At 37.0% G+C, this 23,909-nt stretch overlaps 1 long non-coding RNA gene across 1 annotated transcript in view; it reads left to right on the top strand.

The window, feature by feature from the left end:
- The window catches only part of LOC105377276 (uncharacterized), an 87,048-nt gene that overhangs the window by 624 nt on the left and 62,515 nt on the right, over positions 1–23,909 (top strand). The window lies entirely within an intron of this gene.

Raw genomic sequence — 23,909 nt, 5'->3', positions numbered from 1 at the left:
TTGAAGTCTGTCAGTGATTCAAGCGCCCTCCTTGCATTGAAACGCCACCGCCCAGAAAAGCCTTTCCCATCTGCGCCTTCCTTCTGAGACCCCTGCTTCCAATGTGGCTCAGGCATTTATTACCTCAAAGTCGAGTCATTGTGAAGAAAATTCCTGTTATTTTTTTTCCTTCTGTCGTATTTGCCATTTGTCAGGTTGCTGCTTTTGATATGACTTCCTACTAAGTAGTGCCTTAATCCTGTCGCTCCCCTGCACAAAACCTTTCAACGACTTCCTATTGCTTTTTGGACAAGGCCTGCCACAAACGTGAAGCCAATCGGTCTTTTCAACCTCAGCTCCCACTATTTCCCCAGGCAAATTGTCTGACCCCAGCCAGGCTGGAAAACTCTAAGCCTTTCCTCACTCCCACTTTCCTGCCTATGCTGATGGAGTCGTACTTTGAGGCAATGGCTACTTTTTAAAGGAATTAGTGAAATCCTGCTCAAATTCATGGTTCTCCTCAAGGGCCTGGGCTTCTTAGGCTTGTGGATCTCTTTTCATTCTGATCTCTTATAGCTTTTGTCGTTTATCTTCTCCCTAGCCTCATAGAATTCTAGACCCGGTACTTTACACCTGGGAAAGCTACTTTGTATTCCTTGACTTTTTTTTTGTTTGTAAGTCCTATGTTCAGCTCTGTACTGTGTAAATTGTCTTCCTTTTCACTGCACTCCTCTATAGGACCTAAGAACTGTGAGTCAATTCAGCAGTACTGTATGTAAATATACATATTTGAATAGAAAATGGAATCTAATGGATGTTAACTCCTTACCTTTTTATTTCTACTTTTTAAAAAATTATTATTACTATTCCTTTTTTTTTTCTGGCTTTTTTCTCTCATACTCTAAGGCCCTTTAATGTCCAGAATGCTCTTGTTAGAAACAAATACTTCGGCCGGGCGCGGTGGCTCACGCCTGTAATCCCAGCACTTTGGGAGGCCGAGACGAGCGGATCACGAGGTCAGGAGATCGAGACCATCCTGGATAACACAGTGAAACCCCGTCTCTACTAAAAATACAAAAATTAGCCGGGCATGGTGGCGCGCGCCTGTAGTCCCAGCTACACGGGAGGCTGAGGCAGGAGAATGGCGTGAACCCGGGAGGCGGAGCTTGCAGTGAGTCGAGATCGCGCCACTGCACTCCAGCCTGGGCGACAGAGCGAAACTCCGTCTCAAAAAAAAAAAAAAAAGAAACAAATACTTCATCATGTTATCAGGGGTTAAGATTTAAACTGTCTGTGTGTGAATTCCTGGACAAGTTATTTAATCTGTCTCAATTTCCTCATACGTAAAACAGGGATAATAATAGTATCCAGCGCATAGGAAAATAATGAAAGTGCTTAGTAGAGTGCCTAGTACCGAGTTAGTGCTCACTAAAAATACCTACCATTATATGCAAACGTTGATGCTTAAGATGGTGGTACTTGGTAGTTGGTCAATATTTGTAAGTTAAATGAATCAATGAACAGTAGGATAGAGGTAGGCTGGGTTCCTAAGTCTAGCTTCCAAATCTATCAAGAAAGCAGGCATTGAGTGACTTCTCACTTAATAGCTTATTTTGGAAAAGAAGAAATGGAACCAAGGAAAATGATATTAGAAATGGGTTATAGTTTTATGGAGCATTGGTAGAGATCACAAGTTTCATAAATTAGAAAGAGGTAAAGTGACTTTTATGGTTATATAATGGCTTTTGTCCTACAAATTGGATCTGGAAAAAAAAATAGTCCCAGTGTTTTTGAGGAATGGAAGCAGAATTCAAACGAATGGAATGTCAACTGGGAGCATTTTCTATCAGGTACTTGCAAAGAGTGAGAGGAAGAGTTTTTAATCCTGATTAATGGCTTGTTTCTTTAAATATAGTGTGTTTTATGCTGAAAAGAAAGATGGTGGGGATGTGATGGGGAGAATGGGTCATGCTGACAATAATTGACAACAGTCACTTCTATGGTATTGATATGTGAAGAGGAATTTTTTAACTTTGTAACTAATGCCTGCAAGCATGAGATATCATCACTGTGAAAAAAATCCCTGTGCTTGTCTCAAAATTTTCCACAGCAATGTACTCTTTTGTAGGCTGATTTTATATGATGTGAAGAAATCTTTTCTTTATTAGTTCTATGTTTACTCAATTTTCTAGCCATTAGATATTGAGAATGACTCCACCATGACACATCAGAGGATTTGCACGCACTGCCTCCGCAAAATAGTATTCTTCTTCTTTTTTTTTTTTAAATAATTGGGAACAATTTTCATTAATTGTTCATTTAAATATATATACATAGTATGCGGTATAATCATAATTCCTCTTAAAGGCACAAAGCTTATTTAAAGATAGAATGGTTTGGGAAGAAAATAACCGGGTCATATAGAATTTTCCAATTAGGAAGTCACTTTAATACATCAGCAATGTCAGCAATTCCCAGTTTGAGATGTACTGGGATTCCTTTCCAAGGGGTTGGTAAATCGAATTATCTATAGACTAAAGCGCGCGCACACACACACACACACACACACACACACACACATATATATACTATTTTAAACATACATTAAGTCTCTATGTAATTAGTAACATGTATTCATTTTAAATTGATATTGAATTCATAAACGCTTTGTGGCATGTGTTTTTTCGTTGATATATAACAAACATATAAGCGCCGTTAAATGGGGAAGAAGAGTCTTGCAAAAAATAATCCTTTTAAATTAAAAGGGAGTCCTCTCATGAGAAGAATTAGGAAATCCTAGACTGGGGACATACACACACAGGCCCCAAACTGATATCAGTATTAAACCTATTGTAGCCTGCACTCAGATGAAGCCCTGGGCCCTACCCATAGAACCAGCATTTAGCAACAGACAAGGACATAGAACACGTTACAATTCTTCCATCTCTTCCTCTTTCCCTCAGGTTATTGTTTCTTCTGACTATAACTGGCACTTATTTATTATGAAATTACTGCTTTTCTAACTAAAAAAATGAGCATAGCTACTTGAGTGAATTAGTTTTTACATAACACAAAATGTTTTAAGTCGTTTTTTAGTCCTTAGCAAAAACCACTGAGATAAAATGGTATTGGGTTGCCTTTTTACAATTAAGAACTTGAAAAATTTAGGAACGTGTTCAAGATCAAATTGTTACATTTAATATAAAAAAGACCTTAAATATGAATTCTGTTCTAGCAGATGCTAATTTTTAATTAACATTATAAATTTAATTGTATGTTAATCATACAGGATATTTTTAGCAAGCTCCATGTAAATGAAAAATTTATGCCTTTTATGATATATATATTTTTTCGAGACGGAGTTTCATTCTTGTTGCCCAGGTTGGAGTGCAATGGCACGATCTTGGCTCACTGCAACCTCCGCCTCCTGGGTTCAAGTGATTCTCCTGCCTGAGCCTCTAGGGTAGCTTGGATTACAGGCATGCACCCCGATACCCAACTAATTTTGTATTTTTAGTAGAGACAGGATTTCACCATGTAAGTCAGGCTGGTCTCAAACTCCTGACCTCAGGTGATCCACCTGCCTCAGCCTCCCAAAGTGCTGGGATCACAGGCGTGAGCCACCATGCCCGGCCTGTAATAGCATTTCTACAGAAATATATGTAGATATAGAGAAAGTTGCAATTCTGAACCCCAAAAACAATCCAGTTAGAGACAAAATAGAGAAAAGGAAGAAACATATATTGATGTAGTAATACTCTATTTTACTTAAATAGCTTTTATCATAGATTTTTTAAAAAATATTTTTCCTATGGACTAATCCATTCTTGAATTGGTTTAAGAACTCAAAAAGTAAATTCTCTTGTTTTTCTTTCAATAGAAAATTAGATGTAGAAGAAAACAAGAACTAAGAAAGTTTTAAAGTTTACTGAAATCTAAATCATATTTTCTTATTGATTATCTTGATAATTTGAGAGTTTTTCTGAAATGAAAAATGACTCCAACGCATTTAAAAAATTACATACCATTTGAGTATTGAGTGACTGATATGGATGGCTGATTAGCCAATAGCTGATTAGATGAGAGGATTCATTAAAATACAATTTATTCTATTTATTCAAAACTATAGGTGGAAAGGAACATGCAAGTAATGGATACTTGTTCTTAAATCTAAATGAGATATAACAAATAATAAGAATAATAGCAGCAAATATTTCTACATGATACTTATAACTCACTAAGTGGTTCAAAATATATTTGGTGGCCAGCCACTGTGGCTCATGACTGTAATCTCAGCAATTTGGGAGGCTGAGGCAGGAGGATTACTTGAGCTCAGGAGTTTGATACTAGCCTGGGAAACAGTGAGACTTTGCCTCTACAAAAATGAAAATAAAAAAAATTAGCCAGGCAAAGTAGCACATGCCTGTAGTCCCAGCTACTCCGAGGCTGAGGTGGGAAGATCACTTGAGCCCAGGAGGTCAAGGCTACAGTGAGCCATGATTATACTACTACACTCTAGCCTGGACAACAGAGTAAGACCCTGTCTCAAAAAAGTAAAATAAAATAAAATATAAATATATCTGCTTATTTATTCCTCAAAATAGCCCTATGAAGTCAGTACTCTTTTATTTCATTTTTTAGATTAAAGCAAAAAGGATTAAGAAATTCACCCAAGGTTCTTTAGCTCATAAATCGCAGAGATGGGATTCAAACCAGGCAGCCTGACTACAGCATCTATACTCTTTGCTATCATATTATATTGCTTTAGCGTGTAGCATTAAGTGCACCTAAAGTTCAAAGTTTGTTACACATATGATCCTCTCATTTTTTAAGTTAAAATCTGTGTTTCTGGAGTTTTTTAGTCTCAGATTAATTGCAAAGAACATTCATATTCCTTTGCAGATAGTTTTTAATTTTTTCTGAAAAAGAAATTTATATGTTGTTGTCTTTTTATCAAGAAGAAAATCATGTTTGCCAATCTTTCAGTTTCCATCGCTAAAGCATTTGCTAATTACACTTTTTTATTGCTCATTGTGTTTATGAAAACCATTTTATTCTAAAAATGTCACAGCGAAAATGACATCCGTGAATTTCATCAACATAATTCTCTTGAAAATTACCCAGTAATCACAAAATATTAAAAGGCCAGATAGTATTTGATTTTAGGAACCTAGATGATTCTGAAGCTGCTGCTTGTTATACTTGCCATGAGTTGCGCCCTAATAATAGAAGAACCTCCCCTTCAGCCACTTATGCAAACCCACACAGCAGTAATTTATACACATAGTGATGATGAATTAGGAATGCAGCTATACCTACTTAAAGGACTGCTTTTTCATGTTTTATGTTTAGCTAACACCTAGTTGCATATAATTGTATGTTTCCTTCTCCTTAAGCAACATTTAACAGTTAAAATGCTAACTTTCAAAAAGCCATTCATTCAACATTTTATGTCTCATGCAACCACAAGACAGCCATTTAAATGCATATATTTAATTCGAGGAACTTTGCATTTTACTTGTCAATCATTTACATGATTATTTCATAATCATATGTGGATTTATGTGGTTTTTACAAATATTAATGTTAATGTTCTTCTCAGATGTAGAAAAAGGATAAAACATACATAGTAGACATTTAAACTTGAAATCTTCTTGTCTTTCAATCTCCTTAAAGATATCTGAATTACTTCCTATATCTAAGATTCAATAAGCAGTACCTAATTTATGCAGACTCTGGAGGTAAAATACGCAGATGACTGAGTGCAATGCCAAAAAAACTCCAAGAATTTTTTCATGATTAGTATGTTTTTCTCTGTTTATCACTACCACCAACAGACAGTAAAACATTGCTAGTGAATGCAATAAAACAATAGCCATTAAAGTCTTTATTACTTGTAATATATATTTGAACTTAAATAGCCCCCAATAAAATTACACTTAAGTAAGATTATGTCTTCTAGGGCATCTTACTCTGTAAGGGATTATTTGTGTAAATTATTAAAATTTTATTGTAAGATTTATTGGACTCTGGTTCTCACCTGTGGATACATTTTTAAATCATTTGGTCAGCTTCAAAAATATATAATTATATCTGGGCCTTACCTTTCCAGGATTCTAATTCATTTGGTCCAGAAAGAATCCCAAATCAATGCAGCTTTACAAGCAAACAGCTTTAGTCTTAACTAAAACACGGAAAGATAAAGAATATTGAACTATACATTCTAGATTCAAGCTCTCGTCCTGACTCTGAAAATAAATTGTTACCTGATCTTGCATAGGTTATTTAACCTCTCTGAATCAGACTTTTCTTATCCTTAAAATGTAGGCTTGAACTACATGATCTCTAATCACATAGCTTACTTGGTACCACATTAAGAATATAGAACCACAACTTCATTATTTCTTGACCTGTATGTGCCTTTAAACATTAGGCAACCTTAGGCAAGTGTGCAAAGGTATTGGCTAAAATATTCTAGAGTGATAGCACAGATAATGTCCTCAGGATATGGAAAAATTATACATCTTATAAACAGGTTTCTCCGGTTTTCTAAAATCTTGACTTCATCTCTCCTAAGATTTTTGCTCAGGCTTTTTTTTTTCCTTTTTTTATGTTCCTCCCTTTGCTTAAAACATATGAATCATGAACTCCACAGAACACAATATGAGGATTTAGGAGCTAGAAAATCCAGATCCTGCTGAGGATTAAGAAGTCAATCTTGTTGTATGACCCAAACCACATTCATAAAGAAAGTTTCAATTTTTCTGATGGGAGAAAAGTATATAAATTGAATATTCTAAATACCAGAAAAGAAAATAATCAGTCAAGCCAAAAAGACACCAAATTAATAGTCAGAAGTCCTAGGTTTGAATCCTGTCTCTCACCATTTCTGAGTCCCTTGGCCTTATGACATTGAAACTATATTAGCCTCATCTCTACACCTTGCAGATAGTTGCTTCTGTCCTTCATGGGACTCAAATAAGATTATGTTTAATGAAAGAGTGAGACAAAACTATAAGATATAATCATTGACAATAATACATATCAGATATTTGTTTAGGGCCAGGAGATACAAAAGAGTTAAAAATAGTAAGAGTAGTCATGATAGCGCTGGATTCTCAAAGGAGAAGGAGGTGGGTGTTCCCAAGAGGAAGCATAGGCACCAATAGCAGGTGGAACAATGACGTCAAAACAATAGGAATGGAGGAAAAGATGTGGCAGTAATGAGATCACCGGTAACCTTTCAGGAGAAAGTTCAGAAGCATAGAGAGGATATAAGTCAAATTACAGACGTATAAAATCATGTATTTCTTCTAATTCCAAATAATCCGTAAGTGAGGATGGATATGAGTGAGCTTCAGAATGAGGACATTTACGGCCTGGGCCTCTTGTAAGTTGTCAAAGTGTAAGTGTAAAAATCAGGTAGTAGAGATAAATCATTCTTCCATGTGGGCCTTTGTCTAACCTACGATATATTCAGATGAATGGGATAGAAAAGCTACTTATTGTAAATCTTACTATGACATGCATACTTACATTTTTCTATTTAATTTGAAAGAAACATCAAAAATAATTTTCTCTAATACTACATAGCAATTATAAACATTATTTCTACTTAAGAAAAATATTCTTGCACATTGCAATAATGAGATTAGGAACAACGTGATTCTCTAAGATTCTATACTTAATATTACATTCAATCCTTATTTAAATTTATTGGTCTCTCTTCTTATTCCTTTCCAATCTACCTCAATTTTGGGGGAAAAACTTTTATCTTCAGTGAGGGCTAAAAGGTGAGACTGAGAAACAAATATGAGTCAACGTGCTCAGTGTTAACATGGTGCTATGGAACTTGAACTGATTTGAATCTCAGAATGGCATATCAGAAAAATGATGAAATGAAAGAAAATCATTCTTAAGGCTTCTAGACTCTACTTTCAAGTGTCTATGTCTCTCTCAGACTATAAATCCAGCCTCAGAATCCCTCAAAATGCTTGACATCTCACCAGTCAACCCCACAAACTTCCTGGAACACCATTAATTTTCCTTCCTTTAAAGACATCTTCCAAAACTCACTTACATATAACATCCAGTTAACTTTCCACCTTTGTACCAGAAGAAATAATACTTTAGATCCGTTCTTTCTGACTCAGTGCAACTGTATTCTTAAGAGTATATGAAAAAAATGAAGTTAAATGAAACTCCAAATCTCACCAACAGAATATCTAAGTTTTATGTAAAGTTTAAGCCAATTCCCTAGAGGCCATCTGTGTCCTACCTAGATGACAAGGTGTGTCTTTGGACTTGGAAAACATATATCCCATGTACCGTGGGTCTCCAAAACAAATGGTTGTTCATTTATAGCTACCCTTCTCTATATAGCTACCTGTAACGCCAGTCTCGTGAACATTAGAGCACTCAAAGATGAAACTTTCTGCTCTTTGTTAACACATCTGCTGTACAAAGGTCTCTGGAAGCTCTGAGAAACCCTGACCCTCCAGAATCACAGGTCAATAAAATATATTTAGAAGGAAAAAACTAAATCAAATCAATAGTACAACAACAAGGTAGGATTTTTTTTTAATGTTAGAGGGTAAATTTGAGGGTTGAAGCCTTGGGGTTATATAACATTTCCACTTTTGTGACTTTTGAATTCAAAATATTTTATATGACACTTGAGATCAAGTTAATTGGTACTTTTGCTTATTTCTTGTCCTGGTCAACTCTCAAATTAGTCTCTACTTAAATACCACTTCCTTCAGAAGTCTTCCCTGATCTTCCTGGACCATGTTAGGTTACTTGACTGATAACCTTGCATTACATTTTGGACTTATTCTATCAGAACACTTATCACTTCTTCATATATCTATTTCTTTGCTTCTCCCATTAAAAGGAAAGCTCTAGAAGAAAGAGATAATTCTTTTTTTTATTTATTTTATATTCTTGGTACTTAACATGGTATCTGACACACAATACATGCTCAATAAATATTTGGTAAATAAATTAATTGGTAAATGTCTATTGACCTCACTGATCATTTTGCACCATAAAATAAATATATAAATAAAAAACAGGCCAGGCATGGTGGCTCACGCCATGATCCCAGCACTTTGGGAGGCTGAGGCAGGCGGATCACCTGAGGTTGGGAGTTTGAGGCTAGACTGACCAACATGAAGAAACCCCCATCTCTATTTAAAAAAATAACAGAATTAGGCGGGCATGGTGGCACATGCCTATAATCCCAGCTACTCGAGAGGCTGAGGCAGAAGAATTGCTTGAACCCGGGAGGTGGAGGTTGTGGTGAGCCAAGATTGCGCCAATGCACTCCAGTCTGGGCAACAAGAGTGAAACTCCATCTCAAAAAAATAAATAAATAAACAGTAATTTTGGAGGCATTATTTAAGTACCATGTAAAGAAAGTAAGCTGAGAAATATCTTTTATGAGTACTTTTTGTTCTTAAATCAGAACTTAAGATGTTGTTAAATATAGTAGCTTTTTTCTATATCCTCTGACTTTTTATATTAACTCATTTACCACATTGTTCTTCATTGCCATTTCTTAAAAAGAAGACTCCTTCTTCCTGGTCCCTCTTCATGTATTCTTTATTGACTTGCTTCTTACCTCCTTCTGAGTCTTGTCTGGTTATTATTCTCCCTTAAATCTTTACCAATCTCTTATTCTACTACTTTCTTTTCTTTCTCACCATACTTAAGTCCCATCTTCCCCGAGCCCTCACAAAGTCTTCCACCTTATCACAACCTTTAACAGTTTCACCTTTTCGTCATTGTTAAATATCTCGAAAGACAGGTTATAATTGACTTTCTAAAAATCATAGCGAAAACATTTTCTCCACTCTGTTGACTTCCAGATTTTGTTCCCCTTCTCATTCTAAACTGGTTACCATCATCCCTGTGTTTAGATGTTAAAATCCCAATTATAGTTCAACTTTTATTTGCAAAACCATCCCATTTAAGAAGTCGTGATTTTGCAGTTCGGTGTGTATTTTTACATCTTTAAAAATCCCCATAATGTTTTACATATATAGTTTGTTTTGTATCAGAAAGGCTGCATGGCACACTAGAAGTAAGTGAAGGTTCTTAGATGTCCACCTTTGAATACAGGCTCCACTGTTAAGTAATTGTGTGATATTGAGCAAGTTTCTCATATATAAAATGAGATGATAAGACAGTTGTGAAAATGAAAGTACTAAAGTAAAAAATTTTAGAACATTGCCTGGCACATATAAGTTACTCAATAAGTACTAGCTATTGCTCTTCTTAGTGCTGATTTAAAAGTTGCGTCCTCTTCAATGCCAGGTTTGAATATTCTTGAAGCCACAATGACGCCTTCCTTGTGTTTGGATACCCTGCTGTCTCTAGTGTATTTTTTTGCATGTAGTAGACAGTAAATATATGGTTGTTGAATGAATTTTTTGATTACCAAAGCTGAATTCCATTTGATAGATTTGTAAAAGGAAAATAAATATCCAGACCCCAAATTCACTATGCCAAAAGAGAAAAGTGAAGTGTGGAAGCTGAATCACACACACACACACACAAAACTGCCTTTCCTTTTGTTACTTAACTGATAGATATACATGTAGAATGCCACATGTCTTTGCGGTGGCCTCCCTCACCCTGACTATGTATTCATATATAAACTGCTTATCTTCAGGGTACAGGACAAGAAAAACCAGAAATTGTCCCCTGCACCCTGCCCATCCTGAGCCAAATGTATACTTGACTTCTTCCTCTACTCGATGTTGATTTATGTAAATTGCAGGTGTACTGAGCACGAGATAAATATATAATTGTTTCCTCCACCCCTTCTTTTTACGTGCAACATGTGGATTCAGTAAGGCTAATCAAACTGTCATAACAATGTGATCATACCCTCCATCTTTCTTTTCTTTCCCCTTTCCCTTCCTGCCCACTTTTTCCCCTTTAAATATCAAAGCCCTCAAAATCCTCTTTGAAGAAAGTGCAGGCTACAGATTCTGCTCTGGCTTGTGTTTCTTTATCCGGGGCATATCCTCAACCTTGGCAAAAAGGAAAAAGAAAACCTTCTAAATTGATTGGAATGCACCTCAGTCATTTTATTTGGTTTTACAGGTTATAGGAAGAGATGAAAATTACATTGGAACTAGGTCATTCTATATCTGATAGTAATCAAACACTACAATATTAATAATTATTGCAACTGTGATTCCTGTTACATTAATGATGTGTATGTTATCTCAACTAGCTCCCAGACCAGTTTTGTTAGAGACCTACGATTCAAATTTAGGGCCAATGGTAAGGAAGGGTTGCCCATTAACCAGTCCACATAAGATTACTTCTCAACATTGATCAGTATCACTCACAAGTCACAATGTCATATAATGCGTTTGGTGGAGGCTGTTGAGCAGAAGAAATACTTTAAGAAATCTTCAGAATATGCTGCTTTTTGAAGACTTTATGACATCTCGAATCATGTTAAGAAAAGCTGGTCAGAAATAAGATGCATCATTTTGGAAAAAATACTGTGTAGCTTAAGGAGCCAAGGGACTCCTATTGGCAACTCAGCAATTGGAGTCTAACCAACACAATATCTTTGTGCTCCACATAAAAAGAAACTGATCTCTTTTGGATGTTTATTTGAAAATTAATACAGGAATGATGCTGGAACCTAAAAGACAAATACATCTGCAGTGCTATGAGGAGAAGACACATCACCCAATTCCATGGATTTACCAAGTTATTTGCTATGCCCACTTTTTGCACTTAAAGCATTTGAAATATTTTCACATATGTTTCTCTATAAAGGACTTAGAGTGTAAGAGACAGGCCAAGTTATTCAATAATCTTAGGTTTGAAACCAAAGCACTTTTTAGATAGATACAAAAATAGCATGGAACTTATAATGTTATAAATAAATAAACTGCTAAAAATATCCAGCTACTTTTTTTATTGCTAACAAAATTCTTGCTTCCAACTTCTTCATTGATTGGTCTATACGTGTGTTTAGTTATAACTTTTCTTCTAAATACGCTTTCATTATATTTTATTAGAGTTGGAAGTTTGTCATTTAAAAATCACCTTACCAAAATGTTACCATTTTCATGAGGTTTTCTCAACCTCATGAAGTAGTATGTGGTCTTCTAGACCTAAAATCCTTTTTAAATTATGATGCAGCATACCCAGGAATATATATTCATTTATATCTGAAATAAATATTTAAAAAGAAATTGTTGAGAAGCCACTTTCATCTTTTTAAATTTCATTTGAAAGCTAAAATATAGCTGAGATTTATTAAAATTTATTTAATGACACATTAATTGGTTACAATAAGCAATTTAGAAAAAAAGTGGTTTGATGGTGCTTTAGAACCGTGACTATCTTGTGGATCCTGAAGCCTTAGGAGCTTTCTGAGGGAGCTGGGGGCTAAGAGTCTCTGTAGGGGTCAGACATTGGAGAGAGAATATGTGTTTCTGAAGAAGATAAATTCCAGGTTCTCACTCTCACTATTGCTATTTTTTATTATGTATATAGGTCTTCCACATAACATTTCATTTAAAGAAACATATTATTGGTTTAAAAAGTTTGACAGTTACCTCTGTACATTATAATTTCCCTAACTTATAGGTTAAATCCTGTATGACAAAAACTACTACATCTAAAATTACTGTAAAAAAAGATTTCTCATATGATTTTTCCATTTCAAGGAATACTCTAGGTACAAGTACAGTAAAACTTGTCTGGGCCCTTAGAGTTTCTAATAATGCAATTTCCCTTACATTTTTTAAATATAGCATCATTAATTTTGGAATTAATATTACAGGCTTGTGTGAATTTGTTTAAATGATTTGCTTGTATTTTAATCATGAATTCAATGTTAAGTTTTGCTCAGAATTTGCTCAGAATTTAATGCTAAGTTTTGAGTGCTCATTGTTTTGTTTCTGGTAAGGGAATAAATTTTACCTTCTTAAGGCCAAGATACTTTATTTATTGCTTTACTCTTCATGGCTTTTTGGATAAAGAACATTTCACTTTAGTCGAAAGGAAAATTAGACTTTATCAGTTCGTCAGAATGGGCCATATTGTTCCTAGAGAAATGTGTGATATTTCAAGCACAAAGATAGCATTCCACAGTTTTAAACTAATTAGAAAGAATTGAAAACGGTTATCAGAACTTCTTAAAATCGCTCAGTTTGAGACAGGTAAACAAAACCAGTTTATAAAGATGAATCAAGATTATGGTGCAGTTAGGGGAGGGGTAGAAGACTAGGAAGCAAAGAAAGAGAAAATTTGTATTTATTGAATGTTCAGATTGTGTGAAAAATTAAGCTAGGTACATTAGACATGTTCCTTCTTTTAATCTTCAAAACGATTCATGGACTTGGTATAATAATCTCCAATTTATTAATGAAAACCTGAAAGTTAAATAACATATTCAATATCAGGCAGTGATGAAGCTGGGATTTGAAACTAGGATTATTAGATTTCAAATCCCTGGCCTTTCTGGTGTTCCATTTACATCGCAAGACTGGTCTACTTCTGCCATAGAGTTGACCTCCTAACTACTGCCCAAGCACCAGCTTTTCTCACTGATCATGGTCTGAATATTACACACTGTTCTCCATCAATTCAGTCCTCTAGTCACCAATCCCTTTGTGGCTCTTCCTCCTCCTTTGGAGACTGTCTCACCCTTCAGACTGTCAGCACTCTTCAACTCACTTTTAGCTTAGTTTCTGCTTGATCCCAGTTTGGCTTTACCTTTTGACTACACAGCATCAAACTACGTTGGGTTAATAAGCCTCTTAGTTTAAAGCCATATCACAGGCCAACTTTATAAACCCCCTCCTCCAAGAAAGTCACATCTCCTTAGCTTAAACGGGACTCCAAAAGTAGAGAACACATGCAGACACTTCATCTCACAGTAACCCATGCTCTGGTGAGGAAGCATTAGGTCCAGGATTTGAGGATCATTTGCATGAGAATTACAGGAGCTGGCTGAGAAGTCTAAACAAGTAGACTATTTGAGGCTGACAATTGGCCTCCACTCTCAGAGGCCTGCAGAGCCAAAAATAACATCTTTTCCTAACCTAAATCGTCTATCAGATAGAGAGGAGGGTCACCCAAATGGGAGGATGGTTGGGCAGTATTAGCTTGAAGTGAGCATCACTAGTTGGGGCTGAGTGGATACTGGGCTGAGTGGATACATGAAAGGCAAGCAACCCAGAATGTTTCCTAGCCAGAGGATGAACAGAAAAGGCCAGAATATTGAGTAAACCAATTGAAAAGCTGTAGTGTCTGGTTCTATAGAAAACTGAGGATGTAGGGGCACAGTTTCTTTGTGATATGACAACAGAATATAATGCTGTTGAGGAAAAAGGGATATCTCCTTGTTTTTAAAACCATATGAAAGAAAACAATCAAGAATTTTTTTTTCAAGGGAAATATAGATCAAAGGCACAAGAAAGCAAGCCCATCTATGGAGGTCTGTTGTACCTGGGATCCTACTGATAACCTGGAGAATTCTGGTGTGTGGAGTTTCCCAAAAGACTCTTCTCTCTTCTAGATTAAATAAAGACTTGGGGAGGGAAGATGTATTTCTCTAGGCCATGCTAGAATGGCCTGAGGAACACTTTTTAAATTCTTTCCTTTTCTGGATGGCAAACCATGCCCTATGTCTTGTACTTTTTTGCATATTCTCCAGTGCCTGGCTCTATACATGGAACATTATTGTGTTCTATTAATATTTTTTAAATGAATGAGCGAAGTGATGTTAAATGGAATGATATATGGGAAAGCATTGAAGGGGGTGGGAACTAAAGACATGAACTTGGTGCCAGCTGGGTTCAAATCCTGACTACCCCATTTACTAGTTGTGTGACTTTGGGCAAGTCATTTAATATTTCTGTGCCTGATTTTCTTCCCTTGTATAACAGAAATAATAGGATCACTATCTCCTAAAATGTTGTGGGTCTTAAATAGGCACAAAATATTTAAAACTGTGCCTGGCCCATGGTAAGAGTTCAGTAAAGTTTAGCCATTTTGAACTTTGAAACTGTAAACTAACTTGGAAACTATAAATCATACAAGGTTTTTACTGTTTTTAAAATGACCAAGATTGGATTAAAGACTAATGCAATACAGTAAACTCATGACATTCAAGAGTTTAATACTAAAATTTGACTTTTTATTGTCATTTCTAAAGATTTTATTTTATTTTTTTTCTATTTATTTATTTTTATTATTATACTTTAAGTTTTAGGGTACATGTGCACATTGTGCAGGTTAGTTACATACGTATACATGTGCCATGCTGGTGTGCTGCACCCACTAACTCGTCATCTAGCATTAGGTATGTCTCCCAATGCTATCCCTCCCCCCTCCCCCACCCCACAACAGTCCCCACAGTGTGATGTTCCCCTTCCTGTGTCCATGTGATCTCATTGTTCAATTCCCACCTAGGAGTGAGAATATGCAGTGTTTGGTTTTTTGTTCTTGCGATAGTTTACTGAGAATGATGGTTTCCAATTTCATCCATGTCCCTACAAAGGACATGAACTCATCATTTTTTAATTTGGAATATTTGTAATTTTACTTAGGCTTGAACTTGAATTGCCAGTACTTTTAGGCTTGTATGCAAGATCAGTCTTCATTCTGGAGAAAGTTCCCAAATATTGCCCACAACACCTGGCATTTCTTATCTTTACATATGCAACATCTGTTTTACTAATAAGCACTACGAGGACAAGAAGTATGCGTGTTTTATTTCCAGAGGCTAATAAAGTAATAGAAATGGCTAAAAATGGTGGTGCTTTTACTATGTGCCAACTACTATGCTGAATTTACATAAATACATAACTTAATATCTTAATTCAATACTTACAATAACCATTTGAAGTTGGCAATATTATTGTAATAGATTATTATTCTGAGATATTCACTCTTTTAGCCCCACTTCCATCCATGTGTGGAAGGTACTTCCCTACTTCTTGATTCTGGTTTTGGCCATATGATTTGCTTGAGCCAACGGGTTGTAGGCAGATATGATGCAAGCAAGAGGCTTGAGAAGTATTTGCATGGATGGGCTTGCTTTCTCACACCTTTGACAGCACTGGCAAAACTAATGCCTGGGATAGTCACAGGTCTCAGGGGAAGGAGAGAGTCCTGTAGAGCAGAGCTAAGCCCCCAGATAAAACCAGTCTAGATTAGCCTACCTCCAGCCAAATCCCAGACTCATGGGGAAACCCACCTAAAACCAGCAGAACTTCCCAGGTCTGCATTGACACTGCTTTGTCCGTATCCTGCAAATTTTGGTAAGTTGTATTTTTATTTTCATTTAGTCTAAAATATGTTTAAATTTCACTTGTGACTTCCTTAACTCATGTAGTATTTAGAAGTGTGTTGTTTCATTACAAAATATTTGGGAATTTTCCAGCTATCTTTCTGTTGTTGACTTCAAGTTTAATTCCAATATTGATTTTGAGTGCTCTAAAATCTTATTGTATAATTGTTATTCTTTTAAACTTGAGGTTGTGTTGAGATGTGTTATAAGGGCCAGAATGTACACTATCTTGATGAATGTTCCCTGTGAGCTTCAAAAGAACGTGATTTTTGCTGTTGTTGGACATATTCTATGTCAATTAGATCATATTGATTGATAGTGCTCTTCAGGTCATTTATATCCTTACTGATTTTCTGCCTGCTTGATATATTAACTACTTAATAAGGGGTGTTAAAGTCTCCAAATATTATGGCAGTTTGTCGGTTTCTCCTTTCACATCTACCAATTTTGCCTCGCATTGCTTGTCTCTATGTACTAGGTGTATACAAACTTAGGATTGCTCTATCTTCTTAGAATTAACCCCTTTATCATTATGTATCAGTTATCTTCCAGATCAGAAATGAAAGGTTTTATTTACCTTCACATATTCTTTCTTTGATGTTCTTCCTTCTTTATGTAGATTCAAGTTTTATTTTTATTCTCCCTAAAGAGCTATCTTTAACATTTCTCACAGTGCAAGTCTGCTGGTAATGACTTCCACCAGTTTTTGTCTCAGAAAGTCTTTATTTCTCCTTCACATGTGAAGGGTGATGCCGCTGCATATTGGATTCTAGGTGGTTGTGTTCTGTCCTTCTTTCTTTTAATTATGTCACTTCCCTTTGTTATTGTTTGCATGGTTTCTGACTGGAAGTTTATTACAGTTCTTATTCTTAGCTCTCTATGGGAATGTTCTGCTCTAGTTTATTTCAATATTCTTCTTTTGTCTTTGGTTATCTGCAGTTTGAATATGATATGCCTAGTCCTAGTTTGTTTTGTTATTTACCTTGCTTTGTATTCTCTGAGCTTCCTGAATCTGAATTTTGTTGTCTGTCATAAATTTGGGAAAATTCTTAACCACTATTACTTTACATACTCCTTCTGCCCTGTTTTCTCTTTCCTTTCCTTATAATATTCCCATTATGTAAATGCTACACTTTTGAAATTTTTCCATATGCTTGGATGCTTTGTTCTGTTTTTGTGTATTCTATTTTTTTCATTGAATTTCAGTTTTTAGCAGTTTCTATTGATTTATCTTCAAGTCCACTGATTTGCTTATCACTTGTCCTGACTTATGTCCTGTCTACTCTTGGAGCCCATCAAAAGTAATCTTCAAGTCTGTTATAGTATTATGGTTTCTAGTGTTTCCTTTTAGATATTTCTTAGAGTTTCCATCTCTATGTTTATGTTTACCATCAAGTCTTTCATATTGTCTGCTTTTCCTATTAGAATCTTTAACATAATAATCAGTTATTTTTAATTCCTTATCTCATAATTCCAATATCTTTGTCATATCTGAGTTCTTATGCTTGTTTTATCTCTTCATATAGTGCTCTTTCTTGCCTGTAGGCATGCCTTGTAATTTTTTTGTTGAAAGTAGGAGGGCATGATATATCAGGTAACAGAAAGTTGGGTATATAGGCTTTTAAATTCCTCTAGAATTTTTTTTGGGGGGGTTGGTTTGTTTGTTTTGCATTTTTGTTTCTCATCATTACTTTGGACTTTCCTAAGTATTCCTCCGTGGAGACAGTCTGTACACCTTCCAGCTGCTCTTTTAGCTGTATTCCACTGTTACCATACTGGAGAACCACTGATGTACCAGTGAGGGATATAAAAAGGGAAATGTCCTATAATCTGTAAAACAAAAAATAAAATTTTAAGCCACCCCAACCCACTAAAGAGATCCTCTGTGGGCCTAGGGGATCCCAGAGAAAACTGAAAAACTAAATTCCTGGCCATGTTGGGAAGGGAGGTCAGAAGTGCCTCATTAAACCCCATCCCTTTGGGAATTTAGGCACAACTGACCAGCATTAACATTAAAACAGAGATCATAAGATTGACAGACTCTTTGTGGCAATATCAAATTCTAACCTGACTCAGGTATAGCATCACATGAAAGATAGCAGACCCTGAAGGAAATAAAAATATTTTATCCTAAAATATATTTTTTACATATTTTGAAGTAGCCCTGCAAAGCAATCTTTTATGGGGAAAATTTGCATCAGTAGAGAATCTCCATTAATGCAGCCAGTTCTTTCTCTGATCTAGGAGAGATAAATTGAGTCTCATATCTTTTAATGTCCAAAAGGAGATATTTGCTATCTATTATCTCTGAAGACTGCTACCTATTAGGTTTCATCTCACAGCAAGAACCTCGGTCTCCACAAGCCCCCTTATCTTACTCAAGCATTTCTTTCTACTCCAAGTCCTTAGACAAAATTTAACTCTTTCAACCAATTGCCAATCAGAAAATATTTGAATCCACTTATGACCTTGATATAGTTTAAATAAATGTTCCTGACAAATCTCATGCTGAATTGTCATCCCCAGGGTTGGAGATGGGACCTGGTAAGAATTGTTTGGGTCATAGGGGCAGATCCCTCATGGCTTAGTGCTGTGCACACAATAGAGAATGAGTTCTCAGGAGATACGTTTTAAAAAAAAAAATGTGTGACACCTCCTACCCCACTCTCTCATTCCCATTCCTGCCATGTAATGTGACTGCTGCTGGTTTGCCTTCCACTATAAGTCAAACCTCCCTGAGGCCTTCTCAGAAGCTAAGCAGATGTTGGCACCATGCTTTCTGTACAGCCTGCAGAGTTGTGAGCCAGTTAAAATTATTTTCTTCATTAATTACCCAGTCTCAGATATTCCTTTATAGCAAGGCAAGAATGACCTAACACAGAAAACTGGTACCAAGGTTTGGGGGTATTGCTATAAAGATACCTGAAACTGTGGAAGCAGCTGTGGAACTGGGTAACAGACAGAGATTGGAAGAGTTTGGAGGGCTCAGAAGAAGAGAGGAAGATGAGGGAAAGTTTGGAACTTCTCAGAGACTGGTTAAATTGTTGTGACCAAAATGCTAATAGTGAAATGGACAATGAAGTCCATGCTGATGAGGTATGAGATGGAAATTAAGAACTTATTAGAAACTGAAGCAAAGTTCACCCTTGTTATGCCTTAGCAAATAACTTGACTACATTCTGTTCATGTTCTATGGATCTGTGAAAGTCTGAACTTGAGAGACATGACCTAGGGTATTTGGAGGAAGACCTTTCTTTTTTTTTTTTTTTGAGATGGAATCTTGCTGTTGTTGCCCAGGCTGGAGTGCAATGGTGCGATCTTGGCTCACCGCAACCTCCATCTCCTGGGTTTAAGTAATTCTCCTGCCTCAGCCTCCCAAGTGGCTGGGAATACAGGCGCCCGCCACCACGCCCAGCTAATTTTTTGTATTTTTGATAAAGACAGTGTTTCACATGTTGGCCAGGCTGGTCTTGAACTCCTGATTTTGTAATCCGCCAGCCTCAGCCTCCCAAAGTGCTGGGATTACAGGCATGAGCTACTGTGCCCAGCCTGGAGGAAGAACTTTCTAAGCAGTAACATATTTAAGATGTAACCTGGCTGCTTCTAACAACCTATGCTAAGATGCAAGAGCAAAGAAATGACTTGAAGTTGGAAGTTGTATTTAAAAGGAAAGTAGAGCATAAACGTTTGAAAAATGTGCGGCCTGATCATGTGGCAGAGAAAGAAAAAGTTCTTTTGGGAGAGGAATTCAAGGAGGCTTTGGAGCAACCACTTGCTAAAAAGATTTGCATAACTAAAAGAGAATCGAATGATAATGTCCAAGACAATGAGTAAAAGCCCTTGAAGGCATTTTAAAGATCTCTGAGGTAGCTAGCCCCTTGCAACAGAGACCCAGGAGGACTGAATGTTTTCAGGGCTAATCCAGGGGCACCACTGCCTTGCAACACCTTAGGAAGCTGCTCCTCACATCATGGCCACTCCACCTCTGGTTCCAGTCTCTGTTCAAAGGGGTCCAGCTAAATCAGGCTACTGTTCTAGAGGGAACAAGCTATAAGCCTTACTGGCATCCATGTGGGTTAAGCCTGTAAGTTCACAGAGTGCATGAGTAAAGGAGGCGTGGCATCCTCCACCTAGATTTCAGAGGATACATAAGAAGGCCTGGGCATCCAGGCAGAAGACTGCTGCCAGGGTGGAGCCCACACAGAGAACCTCTACTAGGGCAATGCAGAAGAGAAATGTAGAGTTGGAGGCCCCAAACAGAGTCCCTACTGGGGCACTGCCTAGTGGAGCTATAAGAAGAGAGCTACCATCCTCCATATCCCAGAATGGTAGATCCACCAGCAGCTTGCACCCTGTGCCTGGAAAAGTCACAGGCACTCAACTCCAACATGGGAGAGAAGCCATGAGAGTTGAACCATGCAAAGCCACAGGGGGTGGAGCTGCCCAAGGCCTTGGGAGCCCACCCCTTGCAACAGTGTGCCCTGAATGTGGGACATGGAGTCAAAAAAGATTATTCTGGGGCTGCACAGATGGGTTTTGAACTTGCATGGGGCCTGTAGCCCCTTTCTTTTGGCTGATTTCTCCCTTTTAGAACAGGAATGTTTACCCAATGCCTACACCCCCATTGCATCTTGGAAGTACATAACTTGTTTTTGATTTCATAGGCTCAGAAGTGGAAGGGAATTGCCTTGTCTCAGATGAGACTTTGGACTTTTGAGTTAACACTGGATTGAGTTAAGAATAAATTTCAGGGACTATTGGGAAAGCATGATTGTTTTTGCAATGTGAGAAGGACATGAGATTTGGAGGGCCAGGGGAAGAATAATATAGTTTGAATATACATCCCTGCCAAATCACATGTTGAATTGTAATCCCCAGTGTTGGAAGTGGGGCCTGGTGGGAGGTGTTTGGGTCACTGAGGGGTGGATCCCTCATGGCTTGGTGCTGTCCTTGCAATAGTGGGTGAGTTCTCAGGATATCTGTTTTTCAAAAGTCTGTGGCACCTCTCCTGACACTCTTTCTTTTTCTCATTCTCACCATGTGATATGCCTGCTCCCACTTTATCTTCTGTCATGAGTAAAAGCTCCTTCAGGCATCCCCAGAATTTGAGCAGATGGTGGAACCATGCTTCCTGTATAGCCTGCAGAGTTGTGAGCCAATTAAACCTCTTTTCTTTATAAATTTCCCTGTCTCAGATCTTTCTTTACAGCTATTCAAGAATGACCTAACATCGATCTGTAAGTGCTCCTCCCAATCCCCCTCCTCACTTCAAGATACCCCTCCTCTTTAGGCTGAACAAATGTATACCTTCCATATGCTGATTTGTGATTTTATCTATGATTCCTGTCTCCCTAAAATATATAAACTCAAACTGTAACTGAATTGCCTTGGACACAGTTTCTCATAAGACCGTTCCCTGGGCCATGGTCACTAATACTGGCTCAGAATAAACTTCTTTAAATATTTTACAGAATTCTTTTTGTCAAAAATCTTATGCATAATGTCTTTTAGTAAGTCTGTTTTCCTAGGCTGCAAACTTCACGGGTATTTCTTAGCTTTTTTTCTCCTTCTAATGAGTAAAGAGGACTAGAGGGAGCTGGCGTAGGATAACATCCTTCCATCAGGTGGGATAAGGCTCTGGTAAAGTATTTCTTGTGGAGAGGAGGCCTTTGTTTTGGAGAATGCTCTGTGCATGTTTCAAAGGCTATGCTTTCCCTCATCCTGCCAGGGCCAGGAGGGGCTGTTTCTCACATCTTCATCATGAGAACCTGATGGATTTTCTAGAGATAAATCCCATTAAAGTGTGTTCTTCAAGACTTCTGTCAACAGTTGTCTGTTTCTCATTCTTATGCTACTGCATGCTCAGCCTCCCAATTTACCAATTTACCATTTTTTTCTACCAGTTTTTGACTTCAGCTGCTACTGCTTCAGATAAACATATTTCAGCAGTGACTCTCAAGATTCACTCATCTGCTGGATTTTGGGGTGGTAGTTTGCCCTGTGGCCTCAGTTTTCTGAGAGATCTAAGAAAATTTGTTTATTTTTAGCTTGTTCAGCTTTTTCTTATTGTAAGGATAAGAGTAATAACTTCTAAGATCTTTACATATTGGAGCTGAAACCAAATATTTATCAAATCATACATGTGCAGAACATGCAGGTTTGTTACATAGGTATACGTGTGCCATGATGGTTTACTGCACCCATCAACCTGTCATCTACATTAGGTATTTCTCCTAATGCTATCCCTCCCCTAGCCCCCAACCCCCTGACACGCCCTGGTGTGTGATGTTCCCCTCCCTGTGTAGTGAACTCCCATTCATAATTGCTACAAAGAGAATAAAATACCTAGGGATACAACTTACAAGGGATGTGAAGGACCTCTTCAAGGAGAACTACAAACAACTGCTCAAGGAAATAAGAGAGGACATAAACAAGTGGAAGAATATTCCATCCTCAGGAATAGGAAGAATAAATATCATGAAAATTGACATATTGCCCAAAGTAATTTATAGATTTAATGCTATCCCCATCAAGCTACCATTGACTTCACAGTATTAGAATTCATGGAATTAGAAAAAAACTACTTTAAATTTCATATGGAACCAAAAAATATCCTGTATAACCAAGATAATCCTAAGCAAAAAGAGCAAAGCTGGAGGAATGATGCTACCTGACTTCAAACTATACTACAAGGCTATAGTAACCAAAACAGCATGGTACTGATACCAAAACAGATATATAGACCAGTGGAACAGAACAGAGGCCTCAGAAATAATGCCACACATCTACAACCATCTGATCTTTGACAAACCTGACAAAAACAAGCAATGAGGAAAGGATTCCCTATTTAATAAATGGTGTTGGGAAAACTGGCTAGCCATAGGCAGAAAACTGAAACTGTACCCCTTCCTTACAACTTGTACAAAAATTAACTCAAGATGGATTAAAGACTTAAACATAAGACCTAAAATCATAAAAACCCTAGAAGAAAACCTAGGCAATACCATTCAGGACATAGGCATGGGCAAAGACTTCATGACTAAAACACCAAAAGCAAGGGCAACAAAATCCAAAATAGACAAATGAGATGTAATTAAACTAAAGAGCTTCTGCACAGCAAAAGCAACTATTATCAGAGTGAACAGGCAACCTACAGAATGGGAGAAAATTTTTGTAATCTGTCCATCTGACAAAGGGCTGATCTCCAGAATCTACAAGGAACTTAAACAAATTTACAAGAAAAAAATAAAACAACCCCATCAAAAAGTGGGTGAAGGATATGAACAGACACTTCTCAAAAGAAGACATTTGTGCGGCCAACAAACATATGGAAAAAAGCTCATCATCCCTGGTCATTAAAGAAATGCAAATCAAAACCACAATGAGATACCATTTCACACCAGCTAGAATGGCGATCATTAAAAAGTCAGGAAACAACAGATGCTGGAGAGGATATAGAGAAATAGGAAAAATTTTATACTGTTAGTAGGAGTGTAAATTAGTTTAACCATTGTGGAAGACAGTGTGGTGATTCCTCAAGGATCTAGAACAAGAAATACCATTTGACCCAGCAATCCCATCACTGGGTATATAC

The sequence above is a fragment of the Homo sapiens genome, chromosome 4, assembly GCF_000001405.40.
Source record: "Homo sapiens chromosome 4, GRCh38.p14 Primary Assembly".
Lineage (NCBI taxonomy): Eukaryota > Metazoa > Chordata > Mammalia > Primates > Hominidae > Homo > Homo sapiens.
The sequence above is the reverse complement of the archived record's forward strand: the minus strand, read 5'-3'. Positions and strand labels throughout refer to the sequence as shown.